Consider the following 19,927-nt stretch of genomic DNA (forward strand, 5'->3'; position numbering starts at 1 on the left):
GGGAGGAACGTGGCAACTCCCTTTATAAAGAGGAGAAGAACAATGGCACCTTTGAGCTCCACACTGGGTGGGCCTCACCACCTCAGAGACTGGCTTCTGCTTTGCTCACTGCAGGTCAGGTGTATCCCTTATTTTTCTTTGAGACTCTAGCCCAGAGAGATGAGTTGGATAGGATATGTTGTTAGTGTCTTATTTCCAAAAGGTACAACTATGACTTGAACAATGGTTTTGAAGGAACTGTGTCCAAGCCATCAGCACTGTGTCATCACTGAACTTTAGATATCATTAGAGTTTCAATCTTTTAGGTAAGACTATCATCCACTTTCCACTGTGCTATTTATTTCTGTTTATGTGTGTGTGAGCAGCGATGCTACAGCCAGCAGTGAAAATGGTCAATATCTCTGCATCTTTTTATGCCCTATTTCCATCTCTTGTGATGTGTGTGTACAGATATTTTCATATTTAGCTCAATTTTTGATGTGATAGAGATGGTTTCTGCTATCTATGAGATGTGTGAGGACAGCACACTTCTGTGCACACATAGATGACAGAAAGCTGCCCCGCAGCCTGCTCAGGATAGGGCTATTGTTCAAGTTTCTGTGGATCTCACTCAGCTGAGGCAAGGCTTGGTCCTGTACAACACAGGAAGTCTAAAATTTTGTATTCTAAAGTATTTTTAGGGGTTATTAATGCAAAGTAGACACAGAAACCACCAGGAAATTTCTAGACCTGAGAAAACTGAATACATAGTTCTTTGAGGGAGCCATGCAATGTCAGGTCGCTAAAATTTCCTTCATGCTCTTCCCTTTCTCTAGAATATTCTATAAAATTCACCCACTGCTTCATTTCTTTTAGGAATTGTATCAAATTCTTACCACTGTTAATTAAGTGGCCACAATTCTACATTCAAATGAGATAATCAGATACCGCCATCAAACCCTCAGTTGCATTGTATTGGTTTTCTTTGTTTAGTCAGTATTTGTGTTACCTGTTTTCTCAGATTCTTCTTCCACAAGGAGTATTTTTTCTACAATATTCTGATATGCATTCCTCCCCACGTTCTTTCTAGTACTTCTTTGTTCATATTTTATTTTCTGAGTCAAGCTCATTATGTGTATTTTTTATTATGTAGCTGGCTTTTCCCCATGAATTTAGTGAGATTTACTTTATTTAATCTTCTACAGAATAAGATATAGTACTCCTAACCTCTTTTTTTCATTCCTGTCTGTGTAATTTCACAATAAATGTTGTGTTTCCAAAAAGCCCTCTCAGAGTCCTGCACTGTTAGCACTTCTTTTAGCTGCTGGTTCTTCTCTTATATCTGGTAAATCCCTGCTCATCAGTTCGTGGAATATACAGGTTAGTCAGTATCAACAGCTGCCATTTACCACTTAGACCTTCCATGTGTCTTGTGTAATTCTTCACATTTTGTGCATGGCTGGTGGTAATCTGAGGACAGCTTGGTGGGAGGTATGATGGGGGTAGAGAGGGTATGTGACAGTAAATTCTAAAGACAGGCCTCTTGGCCATTGGGGATGAGTGGATCCTGTGCTGTGCACATGAGGGTCTGGTCTGGCCCTTCTGAAGAGTTGCGGATATTAGTACAGGGAGACTTCCTAATACAAAAGGCTTTGCTATGGATAATTTTGCCCTTGCAAGGGAACCAGACAGATTGGTATTTTCCCTGGCATAAATACAGATGTACTTCAAAGGGGAATACATTACTAATTGGCAATTCTTTCTGGCTCTATGGAAAGTGGATTGGTTCTAGCTGAGCTTCATGAGTTTTATCTTAGGCAGAGAGTAGTTGTTTGGTCCCAGCAGATCCCACTGTATTGTTGAGATTTGTGTCTCTTGTCTCACAGACCCTGTTTTCCATAGGAACTGGAAATGAGCAATCCTGCCTAGGTGGCTTAAGTTAGACCATCAGGTAACAAAGGAATGTCAGAGAAAAGGAGCAACAAAGAGGCAAGGATGACATTGCCTGTTTATGTCACCAACCAAGGTTGCTGCAGCCTGATGCAAGACAGACTTCCCCTTGGCAGGAGAGTACAGGAAGAGAACAGAAATGCCCCTAAAGGTCACTCATTTCAGGCTCTTTCCCTGTTCTTCTCCAATGTCAGCAATGAGTAAAGTTTTTCAGGAAAGCATAAATATCAGCTATGCACTCACCAGACAAAACAAAAAAGAGGTGATGGAAATGTGGAAAGGGACACTCTCTGTGAGTGAGGGTGGGTGGAAGAGACAAGCAGTCCTGCAGCAGGAACTTGGGCACCTAGACATGAGTTGCAGCCCTTAGCACTCCACTTGCCTTCTAATATCCATGTTCACATTCTCAGGTCCTGAAGGAACAGTCTTCAACCTATGAAATTTTAGGAGATGCAATTCAGCTCTCATAACAGCTCCCAACCTTTTCTAAGTCGAGTGTTCAGTGGTTCAAAACTCCTCACTCCCTTCAGGCACTGCCCTTTAGCAAATCGAGTTGCCTCCACTTTCAACACTCATCCCAAATACAACCACTTGCATAATCTTTACTAGAAGGTGATAGTTCAGGCCGTGATACTCTCTCCTGTAGGACTTTAATATCCTCAGCTGCTCTTGGTAACATTCCTGCCCCAGCACATCCCATATCCGTTCCCCTCATATCAGTCAGAGAAGACATTTATGCAGCCAAAAAACACATGAAAAAATGCTCATCATCACTGGCCATCAGAGAAATGCAAATCAAAACCACAATGAGATACCATCTCACACCAGTTAGAATGGCAATCATTAAAAAGTCAGGAAACAACAGGTGCTGTAGGGGATGTGGTGAAATAGGAACACTTTTACACTGTTAGTGGGACTGTAAACTAGTTCAACCATTGTGGAAGTCAGTGTGGTGATTCCTCAGGGTTCTAGAACTAGAAATACCATTTGACCCAGCCATCCCATTACCGGGTATATACCCAAAGGATTATAAATCATGCTGCTATAAAGACAAATTCACATGTATGTTTATTGCAGCACTATTCACAATAGCAAAGACTTGGAACCAACCCAAATGTACAACAACTATAGACTGGATTAAGAAAATGTGGCACATATACAGGATGGAATACTATGCAGCCATAAAAAATGATGAGTTCATGTCCTTTGTAGGGACATGGATGAAACTGGAAACCATCATTCTCAGCAAACTATCACAAGGACAAAAAACCAAACACCACATGTTCTCACTCATAGATGGGAATTGAACAATGAGAACACATGGACACAGGAAGGGGAACATCACACACCAGGGACTGTTGTGGGGTGGGGGAGCAGGGAGGGATAGCATTAGGAGATATACCTAATGCTAAATGACGAGTTAATGGGTGCAGCACACCAACATGGCACATGTATACATATGTAACAAACCTGCACGTTGTGCACATGTACCCTAAAACTTAAAGTATAATAATAATAAAATTTTTTTAAAAACCTAGGAATTAGATCATAACACTTTTATGCTTCAAATGCTCTTAGGATTTTCTTCTGCAGTTGTAATAAGATAAAAGTTTCATGCCTCAGCTCCCTCACACCCACACATCTCCCTCTTTTTGAAGACGTGAAAGCTCTGTGAATGGAACAGAAAACAGAATCTTCCTCAACTTACTGTGTTCATTGAGTAAACCAACTATTCTGATAATACAGTCGTGTTCAAGAATTCAGCGTTGCTTGGACTTTTCTAAAAACTTTGGTTACATTAGTAGGATCTTCATCTTTACATTTTTATTTGATGTTGATGCTCTCTAATATATATATATTTCACAATTATTTGAGCTTATTTATATTCTTTCCATTTATCCTAGCAAAGGCTGATTATAATAGAAAACATTTCTTCAGCATTTACTATATGATATTCAATCTTCAGAACCATCGTATTAGGGAGGTGTGATTATTATTATCTTAATTTTGTAGATGAGGTGACTTAGGTGCGTGCCTAGGTTCCTATAAAGGTAGTAAGTGGAATGGAAGGCATTCAGTTCTCAGAGCTGAGTTCTTGCCTACTGTGCTCCATTGGTTACTTGCTCTTCATTCATTCATTTCTCTAAAAGAAAGTGAAAGGAAATGAGATTCAGAGAACAAAAGCAAGTTTCTCTTAGAATATTTTCAAGGTTAAATTTTCCTGAGACGTTAAGAGCTGAGGTGACTGAAAATATATTTTCCTGAGTAAACATGTTTGTTTGAAATCATAATCCCATTTAAACATATTCTAGTATTCTGCTTTACCCCTTGTATTTATATAAAGACACTCAGAGGAATTAATTCCTTTTTTTTTCTAATTACAAAACCCTGTCAATGTAGATCCTCTATGTACTTCCTTAATCCATGCTACATGCATTTTTCTTGGGTGGCATATTAGCATTGACAAAATTTGTGTATGCCCTTTTAAATTGACTAAATTTGATCCTTCTAATCACAATGGATCTAAAATTCTAGAAATCCAAGAGGGAGTCTGATCAGAGAGTTGTCTAAGAAAGGATAAACTATATACCACTTACATAACTTTCAGTCTTCTGCATGAAGATGTCACCTGTGTCCTGGCCCCAGAGCCGGTGTACCATCCTCAGTGATTGGGGCCATAGAAGGCATTGGTCATCAGCCTAAGGTCAAGTGTCTGTAGCCTCATCACACAATGTCAGAGTGTATTCTTCAGCTTTCAGTTAAACATCCTATCAGTTCATAGAGAAGTACAATCACAACTTATAAGAAATACAAAGCAATGTATGTCACCCTCATGTTTTTCTGATCATGTACAAAGTCAGTAAGCTGATAGGAATTTCACTAAAGTGACTAATCAATGACTCACTTATTAAACACATAAACCTTTCCCTATGTCATACAAAAGATGTTGTCTTTTCTGCGTAAGAACCACAAATTATTATTCTATCTCATTGATTTTGAAGTCCACATGTATGCATATTTATCATCTTGGAAATTGTTTTTAAAATGTGATCACAACAGAATCATTCATCTAATGTTTTCTTCTTACAATGGTACCTTGACATCCTCTCTTGAAGGGATGAGGTCTGTTTTTACCCCCTTGGAGCTTGGGTAGAACTGCATTACTGCCATGACCAGTAGATTATATCAGAAGTGATACTTTGTGACTTTTGAGTCTGTATCATAGAAATGCCATGCAATTCCAAATTGTTCTTTATGGAACCTGACACATGCTGTGAGGAAGTCCATGCTGTGTGACAGAGATAGAACATTCATTTTAAAAATGATTGGATACAAAATTGTCTCTAAACAATATTCAATAACTGACTTTGTTTCAGTGACCCAATTGCTACCTATATCATATATTATATTTCTACACATGCATGGCTACATAGCTAAAGATTTATGGATTATTCCTTTCTACCTTGCATAGTGATGTTTCTGATGCCTTAGCTCTTCTAGTACTTACAATAGCACTTTGAGGATTTTTTGCATTTATGTTCACTTTTCAAAGGTAGAAATAAAATCTTAATGTGATTGACTTTCCCTAAGACATGCACATCATAGGGAACAGCATAAGACAAAGAAAGGAAAGAGACAGACAGAGAGAGAGACAGAGAGAGAGAAATGAGTGAATGACCTTATTCATGAGAACAATATAAAATACCTAGGATCAAATAGCAAGAAATGCACAGGATTCAGTTGAAGAAGAATGATCAAACTTTGATGCAGAATATGCACTAAAATGTATATACATGTAAATTTCTGCACATGAAAATGCCATATTCAAATAGGACTAATTTTCCAGCTGTTCTGGTGAAAATTGCACAACAGTCCCCTCTTCATGTCTGATTTTGGCTTTGCTCATTCACAAACTCTATTATTTTTCTATTTGTCATTCCAATTCCACAGTTTTGTTTACATTTATTGTTTATTGTCATCTCTTCTTTCATTCTCCCCATCCTTTGGTATTAATTTCCTCTCTGCTTCTTTATTGTAATTTTGTTGGGACATTGGGAAAGAGCAGAAATCAGTCCATGTGTTCAATACACTGTGCATTCCAATACCCTTAGTATGGAGACAAATTCCTTATCACAGTTTATAACAGGTCCTACAGATGATCTTTTAGTTTATGCCTCTTTCAATATAAGTGTGTTCAAGTGACTTTACAAGGCAGACTGCTATTACCTGTGTTCCTAATTTTATCTGAAGAATATGCTGCTGTCTTTTCTTCCCTGGCTGCATTAAATGTAACATGACAATGACTTGATAATCACATGGTTATTTTTTACAACGTTATTGAGTAAACATCTAGAAACAATTTTAAATGTTGAATACATTTTTATACTCTAATACTCTAACAAATGTAATTTTTTAAAAACAAATGTACATTGTTTCAAGTCTATTACTTATCCATCTTTGGAACTGCCAAAGCAAATCTCTCCATATTATAAAAAAAAAACTTTTGTGACTTCTAGTAAACAGACATAGAAACAGAAGTTTATGATATGATACATAAAAGAGTTTGCATTTATCTTACATTTTTACTAACTTTATTTTTTAGCTAAGCTTTTGTCTATATTTGCATATTCTTGATTGAAACATGCCTTTGTACATTTGTATTGAGCAATTAAAGGCTTTTTTAACTAGTCAACCTAACAACATTGACATATGGCTTTTCTCAGATTGGAATGATCTACAAAGCTTCTGAAGCTTGAACTTTGGGGTCCTTCATGTGCACAGGCCCTTTCCAAGACCCTGTTTAGAGTGAATAGAATACAGACATTTAGAAGGTTCATGAACTAGCAGTGGTCTTCTTTATGCCAACTCCTTTACTCAAGCCTTTATGTATTTTTCTGTCTTCCACTGACCCATGGGGATCATAAGATTTCAGGACCTTCTCCTCCCTAAAACAAACTCCAATCATTTGAGGGATATCTGAATTTTTTCTGAAAAGAAGACTGGGGAATGCCTATAGAAACAAATTTCTAAATAATCTGATTCTTATGTCTACAAATAATGGCTATCTTCCTGCACTGCTGTAAATGTACTGTGGGACTGCAGATTATACATGGAGGTATCTAAAGAGTGTACTGTAGTGGTGACTGAAGGGCCTATTGAAACGATGTATGGCTATAGATTCTTGCTCTTCCACTAGTTTTTCCCTTGAAGAACATACTCCCTGCAGAATGGCACCTTCCCTTAGTATTTGTAGTGTTTCTACCTTTAAGCATGGAAGGAATGGTCAATGTTAGCAATGCTGTCTTTCCTCTACAACTTACGGCGGGGTAAGGACAATTCTCATGTTTGACTACAAAAGCAAGCGCAGCTTCATGGCCCTAATCCATTTGGGCATTTCTGCTAGTGTCCTGGATCCATCAGTCTCCACACCGGTGTTTCCAGAGATGGTGCTGACTGTGGCAATTACCAACTCATGGATGTTCTTTGATTTTTAATAGGAAGAGTGATTTCCCCAGAGGTTTTCTCTGTAAATGAAGACATTCCTTGCCTGATTTCTAGGGCATACCACTGTTGTTTATTCCGAAGAGTCCATGACTGGAACACCATGTAAGGCCATAGATTTTTGTATTCTATCTTTGTTCCGGCTCTTTGGTTTTCCTTGGGAGGGATTCTACGACAGACTTACTAAGTGAGACTCTGCAACTCTGCCCCCATTTTGTACCCTTCTCCCCCAGGCATCTTGTTCACTTAGCTGAGTACACTCTTGGGGAGAAGAGAGAATATGGTGGTAGCTCATGAGGACACATCCAGTTTTCATTCACAGCCTACGACTCAACTGAATAAACTCCTGAACTTTAAGTCTCCCTAAATGTGTGCAACAGCTTTGGGGGATCTTTAACCATTTACCTCCTGCTATCTTTGGAATGGAGGAAAAACTAAAAGTGTTACATGGGAAGTTTGTTTCAATTCTACCATCTGGTACTCAGTTTACAACCATTTCCCAATCCTGCTTCTTAATGAGCTATATAAAAGGAGAAGATTTATTGACCGTTTGTCATACATTTTGGTCAACATGTCAGCTATTGATATGTATTTTTTACATTATTAACTGAAGAAAAATGGATGCCTTTTACAAACTGTTTATAAGATTACAAAACAGAAATACATCCAAAGGAACCAAATTAGGGTTGTACTGTGGAAGCCTAATGATTTTCTCACATAAATGCCCTGTTTGGTAAGAGAAATGAGCAGGAGCAAGGTCGTGGTGAAGGACTCTGCTGAAGCTTTCCCAGTGATTCCTCTACTAAAGCTTTGGCCTTCTCAAAATATTCTCGGAATAAGCAGATATTGTCATTCTCCAGAAAGTCAACCAGCAAAATGACTTCAGCTCTCCAATAAACTCTTGCCATGACCTTTGTGCTCTCCTCATCCACCTTTGTTTTGACTGGACTTTTCCACCTCCTGGTAGCCATTCCTTTGATTGTATTTGTTTTCTGGGTTTTACTGGTAAAGTCACGTGTTGTCTCCTGTTATAACTCATTGAAGATTTGCTTACGGTCTTCATTGCTCATATTTAAAATTTTTAGGGAAAGTTCTGCTCATCTCTGTACTTGATCTTGGTGACACAGGTTGGGCATCCATTAAGTGAAAAGTTTACTAAACTTTGATCATTCAGTTAGAATCATGTAAACTGAACCAACTGAGAAGTCTGCAGTGTTGGCTATTGTGTGTGGTGCTAATTGTCACACATCTTCTCTTAGGGTATAAAGAAGATGAATGTATACCTTGCAATATGACATGGTTCATCTGTCACTGTAGGCTTTAGGTTCAACATTGTCTCATTCCTTCTTGAAATGAGGAACTCCTCATTGAATTTGTGAACTGCTGACTTCTTCAACCAATGTCAACTTACCATGTGGCAAGTAGGACAACTTTTTGGACACCGTCAGTGATTTCATCTTCTTCCACCCAAGCTTCACCATAAATTTGATGTTTGTACTCTAATTTTAGAAGAATTCATGTTGCTCTTCTAGGGACTCTTTTGAAACTGCTATCTTATTTTTCTTGAAGCCTCAAACTAGCTCCTGTTGAGACTTGTTATAGCAAGATATTCTAATTTCATTTGGTGCCAAAAAATTTGGAATCCATTCATGGTATTTCTTTCTTTCTTTCTTTCTTTTTTTTTTTTTTGAGATGGAGTCTTGCTCTGTCACCCAGCCTGGAGCCCAGGCTGCAGTGCAGTGGTGCGGTCTCTGCTCACTGCAAGCACCGCCTGCTGGGTTCATGCCATTCTCCTGCCTCAGCCTCCCGAGTAGCTGGGACTACAGGCACCCGCCACCACGCCTGGCTAATTTTTTGTATTTTTAGTAGAGACAGGATTTCAAGGATGGTCTTGATCTCCTGAACTCGTGATCCACCTGCTTTGGCCTCCCAAATTGCTGGGATTACAGGCGTGAGCTACCGCACCCAGCTCATTCATGGTATTTCTTAATAGAATGTACATTCTTCGTCAGCATTTTAACAACCCACTCCATATAGGAAGGCATCCTAACACAAGAAGGTCTACTAGAGGTAATTTAGACTTTTCCAGCTGACTAGGCCGATTGGTTTCTTGTTTTTCTTTTAGCATAAATAGGAATGTTTTCTGAAGATGGGATATAATACCTGTGGCCAAATATTCTCCAGCTACATGGAAAGTGTAACATTTGTAACTGAGATTCACATGCTTCAAGAGAGACACAGAGTGCTTGGGCCCAGCGGCTATTCTGATGTTATTGAATGATTTTCTCTGGTTTCACCAAACATTATTTGGAAAGAGAAGGTGGTTATGAGCAGTCTGGCCTAGGTAGCTTATGGTGGCTTGTCAAGTAGGGAAGAAATGCAAGAGAGAAGAAGCAGAGGGGAGTGCCAGGCAGATGTGCCTACTTGTGGGAGTCACTGGGGAAGCTGCAGTCCCAGTTAGTGGCAGGCTACTTCTCATCTGCTGAGTACAGGAAGACAAGAGGTGATACTTCCAAATATCACTCAGCTCATGCCCTATTCCTGACCTTCCCCTATGTCAGAAATGCATGAAAAGAGATTAGCATATCAGGAAGGAGTAAATATCAGGTATCAAGCTACCAGAGACAACCAAAACAGAGGTTACCAAAGAACTGAAGGAGACAGTGTCACTTAGGATGAGGTCAAAACAAGGTGCAGGACTGCAGCAGGAGCTTAGGCACTTGTCCATGAGTCAAGAACCTCAGCAATCCACTTGCCATTTAAAATAAATATAAACTTACTATGTGCCAAGCAGGACTCTTGATTTCTACCTCCTAAAACCTGCTCTCCCCTAGCTTTCTTCATTATGGCTGTCAAAAAAAATATCACAGACTAACTATTCTTCAACAACAGAAATTCCTTTTCAGCACTTCTGGATGCTCAAGTTCCACGATGAAGGTGTCAGCATGTTCAGTTCTTCTGGGCCCTGCCTGCTTGCCATCTACATACCTGCCTTCTTGCTGTGTTTCCCATGGGACTGCTTCTATACATACATAATTCTTGTGTCTCTCCGTGTGCAAATTTCTAGTTCTTATAAGGAATTTCCACTTCTTATAAGGAGAGCAATCTTATTAGATTTAGTTCCACTGAAACTCACCATTTTAGCTTGATCACCTCTTCTTAGGGCTGTTTTCTAAACAATCTTATTCTAAGGAACAAGAGGTTGGCTGTGGAGTTTTGTATACCTATGCCTATCATATTTCACTAAATATTTGATTATATAGATATCATTTCTTTGGAACTCTGAGCTGTGTGAAGACAACACAAACCTGGCCATTCATGGCTGACAAAAGGTTGGCCCTCAGCCTGGTCAGACCCACACAGATTGTCTAATTTTCTCTGGCTCTGGCTCTAGTCAGAAAAGTCTTGGTGTTGTAGAATACAGGTGTCTTCATGAATTCTATCATTAATACTCATGGGGAGGTTAAAACAGAGTTGGCCATGAAACCTACCAAGGGGTTCTAGAAATGAACAGAATGAATACACAGTTCTTGAATGAGACACCCGATTTCATATCGTCAAAATTTTTTCCTTGCTGTACCGCTTTGTTAGAATGTTTGATCAGATTTAGTTTGGGATTTACATATTTTAGGAATTTTTTTTTATATACAGACTCTTGCTCTGTCACCCAGGCTGGACTGTGGTGTCATGATCCTGGCTTACAGCATCCTTGAACTCCTGTGCTCAGGGGATTCCCCCGGCTTCAGCCTCTTAAGTTGCTTGAATTACAGGTTCATGACACTGACCATGCCCATTTATTTTTTAAATTTATTTATTTATTTACTTTTGAAGAGATGGAGCCTCACTTTGCTGCTCAGGCTGGTCTTGAGCTCGTGGCCTCAAGGGATCCTCCCACCTCACTCTTCCAAAGTCCTTGGATAACAGGCATGAGTCACCATGTTCAGTCATCTAGGAAAAAATTTTAATCACTCCCACTTATAATGAGTGGCCACAATTATATATTCCAATAAGATAGTCTGGTACCCACATAAAAGCCTCAAGCATATTGCATTGATCTATTTCTTAGTACCTGTGCTATCTCTCTCCCAGATTGCTCTTCCACACAGAAATTTTTTTCATTTTTGCAACATTCTGAAACTAATTTCTCCCGACTCTCTTTCTAAAATGTATTTGTAGACATTTTGTGTTCTAAATAATCTTCCCTGTGTTTATTTTTCATCTTACATCTGGCATCTTTTTAAATAAAATTTGGTAAAATTTTTTAAATCTAATCTTCTAGGTAAGCATCTATAATTCTTCTTACTCCTTTCTTTTCATTTTTGTTTTCAAAATTTAGATCAACATAATGTGTTTCCAAGGTCTTTTTACTGAGTTTGTGTTAGTAGCTCTCTTTTCATCTGCTGACTTTTCTGTTACATGAAGTAGTTCCTGCCCATCCTTCTACCCTTTTCATGGAAAGTTTAAGTGAGTCAGTATCAACAGCTGCCTCTTATCATCTCAGGCCTCGAATAAGTCTTGTACTGTCATTCAGTTTTTGCTCAGGGATAGTGATAACTTCAGGATGACCTTGTTAGAGGTATTGTGTGTGGGGTTGTGACTGGACATCCTAAAGACAGGCCACTTGATCAGTTGGATGAGAGGATCCTGTGTTGTACACATAAGAATCTGTTCCTACTCTTCCAGAAGGGTTTGAGAATACAAGGGGATTTCAAAAAGTTTGTGGAAGAACATAATTACAATATGAAAGTAGACAATATAAACTTTATTTCTTAACATTATCTCCATCACATTCAAGAAGTTTGGCAAGTAATGATACAAGAAATTTAGCCTATCTACAAAGAATTGAGGGCCCTGGGAATTTCACCATATAAATGCAGTCTTTTCACATTATTAGCTGAAGAAAACAGAGTACAATTTAAAGATATTTTAATATTAGAAAAAAGTTCAAAGATACTGCATCAGTACTGTAAGTTGGATGCCTAGTGATTTTCTTTTTTTTCTTTTCTGTTTTATTTTCATAGGTTGGGGAACAGGTGGTGTTTGGTTATGTATATAAGTTCTTGAGTGGTGATTTGCTAGATTTTGGTGCACCCATCACCTGGGCAGTATACACTGCACCCAATTTGTAGTCTTTTATCCCTCACCTCTTTCCGACTCTTTCCCCCTGAGTTCCCAAAGTCCATGGTGTCATTCTTATGCCTTTGCATCCTCATAGTTCAGCTCCCATTTATGAGTGAGAACATATGATGTTTGGTTTTCCAGTCCTAAGTTACTTCACTTAGAATGATAACATCGACTTATGAAAGATTGGGGAAAGTTAGGCAAAACTTTAGCAGATAAATGCTCAGAAAGGCTTTAGCAGAGTCCTTCTCCATCACAACAAAGCTCTTGCTCATTCCCCTCATGAAACAGGGGCAATTTGCCAGACTTTTTATGGAAATCACTAGGCATTCAATCTCATCCATTTATCTGCTAAAGATTTGGCTTTCTTCAGATTCCAAATTCTTTCATAAGTCGATGTTATCATACCTTGGCCCTCCCAAAAGTTATCAACCAAAATACCTTGGGCATCCAAACACACTGTTGGCATAATATTTGCTTTTGTCACATTTACTTAGACTAGATGACTTCCACCTCTTGGTAGCCATTGCTTTGATTGTGTTTTTGCCTTCGAGTGGCACTGGTAAAGCCACATTTGATCTCCCGTTACAACTCTTCAAAGACATGCTTAGGATCTTTTCTTTTCTTTTCTTTTCTTCTCTTTCCTACTTCTTTAATTTTTCATTGAATATTCTGTTCTCGTCTGTAGCTGACTTGGTTACAGCAGTTTTGGCCTTCATCAAGTGGATAGTTTGCTCAAGTTTAATTTCTCAATCAGAAAAAATTATGTAATCTGAACCAATTGATCTTGTTCTTGTGCTAGCTCTTGTTTCTGTTGTTAATTGTCAGAACTTTCCAATTAGGCCAAAAGAAGATAAAATTTTTGCCCATAAGTTGATGTGTATGTTCTGCTGCTGCAAGTTTTACCTTCACCATCATCTCATCGATTCTTAAAGTGAATTATCCATTTTCTGAAGGGCTGATTTACTTGTGCACACATATGTCCTAATGCATCAGTGATGTCACCATCCCTCCACCCAAGCTTCACCATAAACTTGAATTTGTTTTTCCTACAATTTTAGTAGAATTTTTGCTGCTCTGATAGAGGCTGTTTTCAAACCGCTTTCTCAACCATGTTAGTGACTGAACAAGATCCTGTTCAGACATGTTGTAACAAGTTAGTACAAATGTATTTTGATACAAAAAATGATTATATCCACTCATAATTTTAAAAAGTCATAAGTATTTTCTAGAAACAGTTTGAAAATCCCTTATATTATTGGAAGCCTTCCTCATACAAGGAGGGTTGTTGCAGATTACTCTGCCATTGGCTGGTGATTAGACAGACTGTTGTTTTCCTCCCTCACCCCTTCTGGAATATTAGGGATGTTTGCTAAAGAGGAAATATATTACCAGTTAGCAATTCTTCTTTGGCTATGCAATAATAAAACATGTGTAGTTTGGCTTTATGTGCTTTAGGGGTGGGCATAAAGTAGTTGCTTGTCCTAGCGGGTGCCCTAATGATATTGGGATGACTATCATTGGTTTCCACACACACTGATTAGACAGGGAAACTGGAGATGAATGGTCCTGCCTAGTGACTTATGGTAGACCTTTTAGTGGGAAAGGAAGATCCGAGGGAAGGAGCAGAGGGGAGTGCCTTGCAGACTTGCCTCATTGCATAGGTTGCTGTAGAAGTCATAGTCCTGGTGAAAGAAAGGCTCCCCCTTGGCTTGGTGAGTACAGGAAGACAGCAGGCATTGCCTTCAAATATCACTCCTCTCAGGCCCTTTCTCTGACATTGTCCAATGTCAGCAATGAGTGAAAGAGATTAGTTTATTAGGGAAGAATAAATATTAACTATGAAATCTCCACACACAAATAAAACAGAGATGACAGAGGAGCTGAAAGAGGCCCTGTCAGGGAGTAAGGATGGGGTCAAAGCAAGGAGCAGGCCTGCAGCAGGAGCTCAGGCACCTTTTGGTCAGTTGAAGCTCTCAGCAATCCACTTGCCTTCTAATATGGATGCAAACATAACATGTCCCAAATAAGATCCTTGATTTCTGCATCCTAAACTGCTCTCCCCTGATGTAGTTTGTTATCTCTGCCCTTAAAAAAAACAAAACACACTGTGTAATTTGAACAACAGAAATTAATTTTCTCACAGTTCTGGAGGCTCACATTCCATGATCAAGGTGTTAACAGGTTCATTTCTTCTAAGATGTCTCTTCTTGGATTTGACTTGGTTAATTTAGTTTTTTGTCTTCAAACACCTTGATCATTTACTTTCTGAAAAACTTTCACAGTCTATAAGGTCTTTTTTCAAATTTTAGACTTATATATGTTAGTTCTGAAATTTCTATTTTATTATTTTCTATAGTTCCTTTTTCTGCTGAGAAGCTTTTTCCCATTTATTTTGAGAGTGTTCACATTTACCTCAGAAAAGTTGGCTATAAGAGCTGCTTTAAAGTCTGATCATTTCCATATCCAAGTTGTTTCAAGGTTGTCGTATCTTGATTATACCCTTCATTAACAGTTGGTCAATTGTTTACGGTTTGTAAAAGTATATTGAGTAATTTTCAATTTTATGCCTCACATGGGCATTTTTCTGTGTTTACAATACACAAAAAGTTCAACAAGGCAAGCTTTGGACATTGAAGGGTGGAGGCACTCAGGCTGCATCGTGATCCACCCACTGGCTCCACTGGCAGAAGAGTTAATCCCACTGACGTTATTCTGCTTGAAGCTTCTATGTGGATGATTCTCCTTGGCTCTTATGAGATAAGAGTGTAAGTATTTCACATAATACACACTTATAAAATTAAAAACACAGAAAAGTGTGCTGAATGGGTCCCAAGGGCCTTATCCACAATGTCTTCCTAACTTTTCATGTTTTGTACCCCATTTTCTCAAAGCTCAATTGAACTCAAGGACTTCTTTTTTCTTTTCCTCTACAAGAACCACAGAGTTTAACATTGGCTTCTTAGAGGCTATCCCAGTAGCCAGGCAGCCCTGCTCTCTTCTGATGGGGATTTACAGAATGCAGGAAAATGAGGCTGAGGTAGAAAGAGTGACTATACACCCAGCATGCTGGCTCATGACTGTAATCCCACTACTTTTGGAGGCTGAGATTGGAGGATTGTTGATGTCAGGAATTCAAGATCAGCCTGAACAATATAGCAAGATCTCCCCATGTATACAACAAAATTTACAAAATCAACCTCGCATGGCGATTGGCACTTGTAGTGCCATCTAATTCAGAGGGTGATCTGGAAGAATTGCTTGATCCCAGGAGTTCAAGACTGCAGTGAGCCATGATTGCACCACTGTACTCCAGCTTAAGTGAGAGAACAAGTCCCTGTCTCTAAAAAGAAATAATAATACTAATAATAACAATAATAATAATAAATGACTACTGCAACTGAAAAGCTTTTTTCCCCCCACCTTGGCTTCTAGCCCCAGGGTCTACCTCGTTTAAACACAACTCCAGTGTCTATGGATTCAACAGACTTGCAGTCTCTTCCTTTCTTTCCCCTTATATGCCACTGTAGCTCTTTCCTGTATCCTCAGCACACCTTCCCCTACTCTGACAGAATCAAGTACAATGGTGAATTGAGCAAGTATAGGCAATAGAGCTATAAATACTTATGTTTCTACCCTCCTTGATATTTTTGCAAGATTTGGAGATGAGTACGTAGGGCCTTTAGTCCTTTTTGAGCCAGGTCATCTCAGGCCCAGCCCGAATCCTTAAAGGAACTGAGATCCGAGTAGAGGAAAAGAAGTGATAAGAGAGATGTGAACAAAGTGTCTTCATGCAAGTAAGTAAGACACATTTACTGTCTAATTCAAGCATTGTAGTCACAGCCTAAGACTCAACTGAATAAACACGTGAATTTTAAGTCTCCCCAAAGGTGTGCAACAGCTTTGGGGCATCTTTAACCCTTTACCTCCTGTTGTCTTTGGAATAGAGCAAAAACTAAAGTGTTACATGGGAAGTTTCCTTCAATTCTACCACCTGGTACTCAGTTTACAACCATTTCCCAATCCTACTTGTTAATGAGCTATATAAAAAGACACAAATTATTGACCACTTGTCATACATTTTGGTCAACATGCCAGCTATTGATATGTATTTTTTACATTATTAACTGAAGGAAAATGGATGCCTTTTACAAATGTTATAAGATTACAAAACAAAAAAAAATGAAAGAAACCAAATTAGGGTTGTAATATGTCCAAAATTGTTTTCTTCCAGTTGGTTCTTGGTCTCGCTGACTTCAAGAATGAAGCTGCGGATGCTTGCAGTGAGTGTTACAGTTCTTAAAGATGATGTGTCCATAGTTTGTTCCTTCAGATGTGCAGATGTGTCTGGAGTTTCTTCCTTCCAGTGGGTTCTTGTTCTCACTGACTTCAGGGGTGAGGCTGCAGACCTTTTCAGTGAGTGTTACAGCTCTTAAAGCTGTGTCCAAAGTTGTTTGTTCCTCCTAGTGGGTTGATGGTCTCACTGACTTCAGGAATGAAGCCGCAGACCCTCTCGTGGGTGTTACAGCTCATGAAGGTAGTGCAGACCCAAAGACTGAGCAGCAGCAAGATTTGTTGTGAAGGGCAAAAGAACAAAGCTTCCACAGCATGGAAGGGGACCCAAACAAGTTACCACTGCTGGCTCAGTTGGCCAGCTTTTATTCCCTTATTTGGCCCTGCCCACATCCCGATGATTGGTATATTTTGCAGAGTGCTGATTGGTCCATTTTGCAGAGTGCTGATTTGTCCATTTTACAGGCTGCTGATTGGTGCGTTTGCAATCTTTTAGTTAGACACAGAGTGCTGATTGGTTCATTTTTACAGAGTGCTGATTTGTGCATTCACAATCCTTTAGCTAGACAGAGAGCACTGATTGGAGCATTTTTATAGAGTGCTGATTGGTGCATGTACAATCCTTTAGCTAGACACAGAGGGCTCATGGGTGCATTGTTACAGAGTGTGGATTGGTGCATTTACAGTCCTTTAACTAGACCCAGAGCACTGATTGGTGCATTTACAATCATCTAGCTAGTCAGAAAAGTTCTCCAAGTCCACAGTGGACCCAGGAAGTCCACCTGGCATCACTTCTCAGTAATGTGAAAGCCTAATGATTTACCATGAGAACTCTCATATAATTGCCCTGTTTGATAAGAGAAATGAGCAGGAGGAAGGTTGTGGTGAAGGACTCTGCTGAAGCTTTCCCAGGGATTCATCTAGTAAAGCTTTGACTTTCTCAAAATATTCTCAGAATAAGGAGATACTGTCATTCTCCAGAAAGTCAACCAGCAAAATGACTTGAGCTTTCCAATAAACTCTTGCCAAGATCTTTGTGCTCTCCTCATCCACTTTTGTTTTGACTGGACATTTCCGCCTCTTGGTAGCCATTGCTTTGATTGTATTTGTTTTCTGGATTTTACTGGTAAAGTCATGTGTTATCTCCTCTTATAATTCATTGAAGAAATGCTTATGGTCTTCGTTCTTCCTATTTAAATTTTTAGGGAAAGTTCTGCTCTTGTCTGTACTTGATCTTGGTGACACAGTTTGGGCATCCATTAAGTGAAAAGCTTACTAAACTTTAATCATTCAGTTAGATTCATGTAAACTGAACCAACTGAGAAGTCTGCAGTGTTGGTTATTGTGTGAGCTGCTAATCATCACACCTCTTCTCCTGGGTATAAAGAAGATGAATTTATTCCTTGCAATATGATGTGAATCATCTGTCACGATAAGCTTTAGGTTCAACATTGCCTCATTCCTTCTTGAAATGAACTCCTCATTGAATTTGTGAACTGCTGACTTCTTCAACCAATGTCAACTTACCACGTGTCAAGTAGGACAACTCTTTGGACACCATCAATGATTTTGCCTTCCTCCACCCAAGCTTCACCATAAATTTGATGTTTATACTCACTTTAATTTTAGAAAAATTCATGTTGGTCTTCTAGGGGCTCTTTTGAAACTGCTCTTATTTTTCTTGATGCCTCATACTAGCTCCTGTTCAGACATGTTATAGCAAAAGATTATGATTTCATTTTGGTGCCAAAACATTGGAATCCATTCATGGTGTTTCTTAATAGGATATACCTTTTCCTTCAACATTTGAACAACCCACTGCATATAGGAAGGCATCCTGATACAATAAGCTCTACTAGAGGTAACTTAGAATTTTGCAGCTGACTAGGCAGATTGCTGTCTTGTTTTTCTCTTAGGATAAATAGGGATGTTTTCTGAAGATGGAATATAATACCAGTGGCCAAATATTCTCCAGTTACATAGAAAGTTTAACATTTGTAACTGAGATTCACATTCTTTCAGAGAGACACAGAGTGCTTGGGCCAATCTGGTGTCCTGATGTTATTGAATGATTTTCTCTGGTTTCACCAAACATTGTTTGAAAAGGAAGCTGTTGATGGGCAGTCTGGCCTAGGTAGCTTATGGTGGCCCATCAGGAAGGAAAGAAACGCAAGAGAGAAGAAGCAGAGGGGAGAGCCAGGCAGATGTGACTCCTTGTGGGAATCAGTGGGGAAGCTGCAGTCCTGGTTAGAGACAGACTTCTCCTTGTCTGCTGAGTACAGCAAGGCAAGAGGTGATCCTTCCAAATATCACTCAACTCATGCCCTGACCTTCTCCTATGTCAGAAATGAGTGAAAGAGATTAGCATATCAGGAAGGACTAAATATCAGATATCAAGCTACCAGAGACAAGCAAAATAGAGGTTACCAAAGAACTGATGGAGACAGTGTCACTGATTTAGGATGGGGTAAAAGCAAGGAGCAAGATGGCAACAAAAGCTTAGGCATTTGTCCATGAGTCAAGGACGTCAGCAATCCACTTGCCATTTAAAATAATGTAACCATACCGTTTACATTACACTCCTGCACTAAGCAGGACTCTTAATTTCTGCCTCCTAAAACCTGCTCTCCCCTGAATTTCTTCATTATACCTGTCCAAGCAAAATATCACAGACTAATATTCTTAAGCAACAGAAATTATTTTCCGACACTTCTGGATGCTCAAGTTCCACGGTGAATGTGTCAGCAGGTCCAGTTCTTCTTGGCCCTGTCTACTTGGCATCTAGATATCACCTTCTTGCTGTGTCCTCCCATGGGGCTGCGTCTGTGCCTACGTACTTCTTGTGTCTCTCTGTGTGCAAATTTCCAGTTCTTATAAGGAATTTCCACTTTTTCTAAGGACATTCATCTTATTGGATTTAGTTCCACTGAAACTCCCTCATTTTAGCTTGATCACCTCTTCTTAGGGCTATTTTCTGAACACAATCATATTCTAAGGAACAAGAGGTAGGTTGGCTGTGGAGTTTTGTATACCTATGCCTATCATATTTCGCTAAATATTTGATTATATAGAGGTTATGTCT

At 39.2% G+C, this 19,927-nt stretch overlaps 1 annotated feature.

Moving 5' to 3' along the window:
* Nucleotides 4,054–5,253: an enhancer, noted in NCBI's record as "P300/CBP strongly-dependent group 1 enhancer chr12:11512579-11513778 (GRCh37/hg19 assembly coordinates)". NCBI's record gives its function as "activates an origin of replication core promoter dependent on BRD2, BRD4, P300/CBP, MED14 and CDK7 cofactors, with strong dependence on P300/CBP, by STARR-seq in HCT116 cells {active_cell/tissue: HCT116}" and the evidence as "EXISTENCE:reporter gene assay evidence [ECO:0000049][PMID:35650434]".

Source organism: Homo sapiens, chromosome 12 (assembly GCF_000001405.40).
Source record: "Homo sapiens chromosome 12, GRCh38.p14 Primary Assembly".
NCBI lineage: Eukaryota > Metazoa > Chordata > Mammalia > Primates > Hominidae > Homo > Homo sapiens.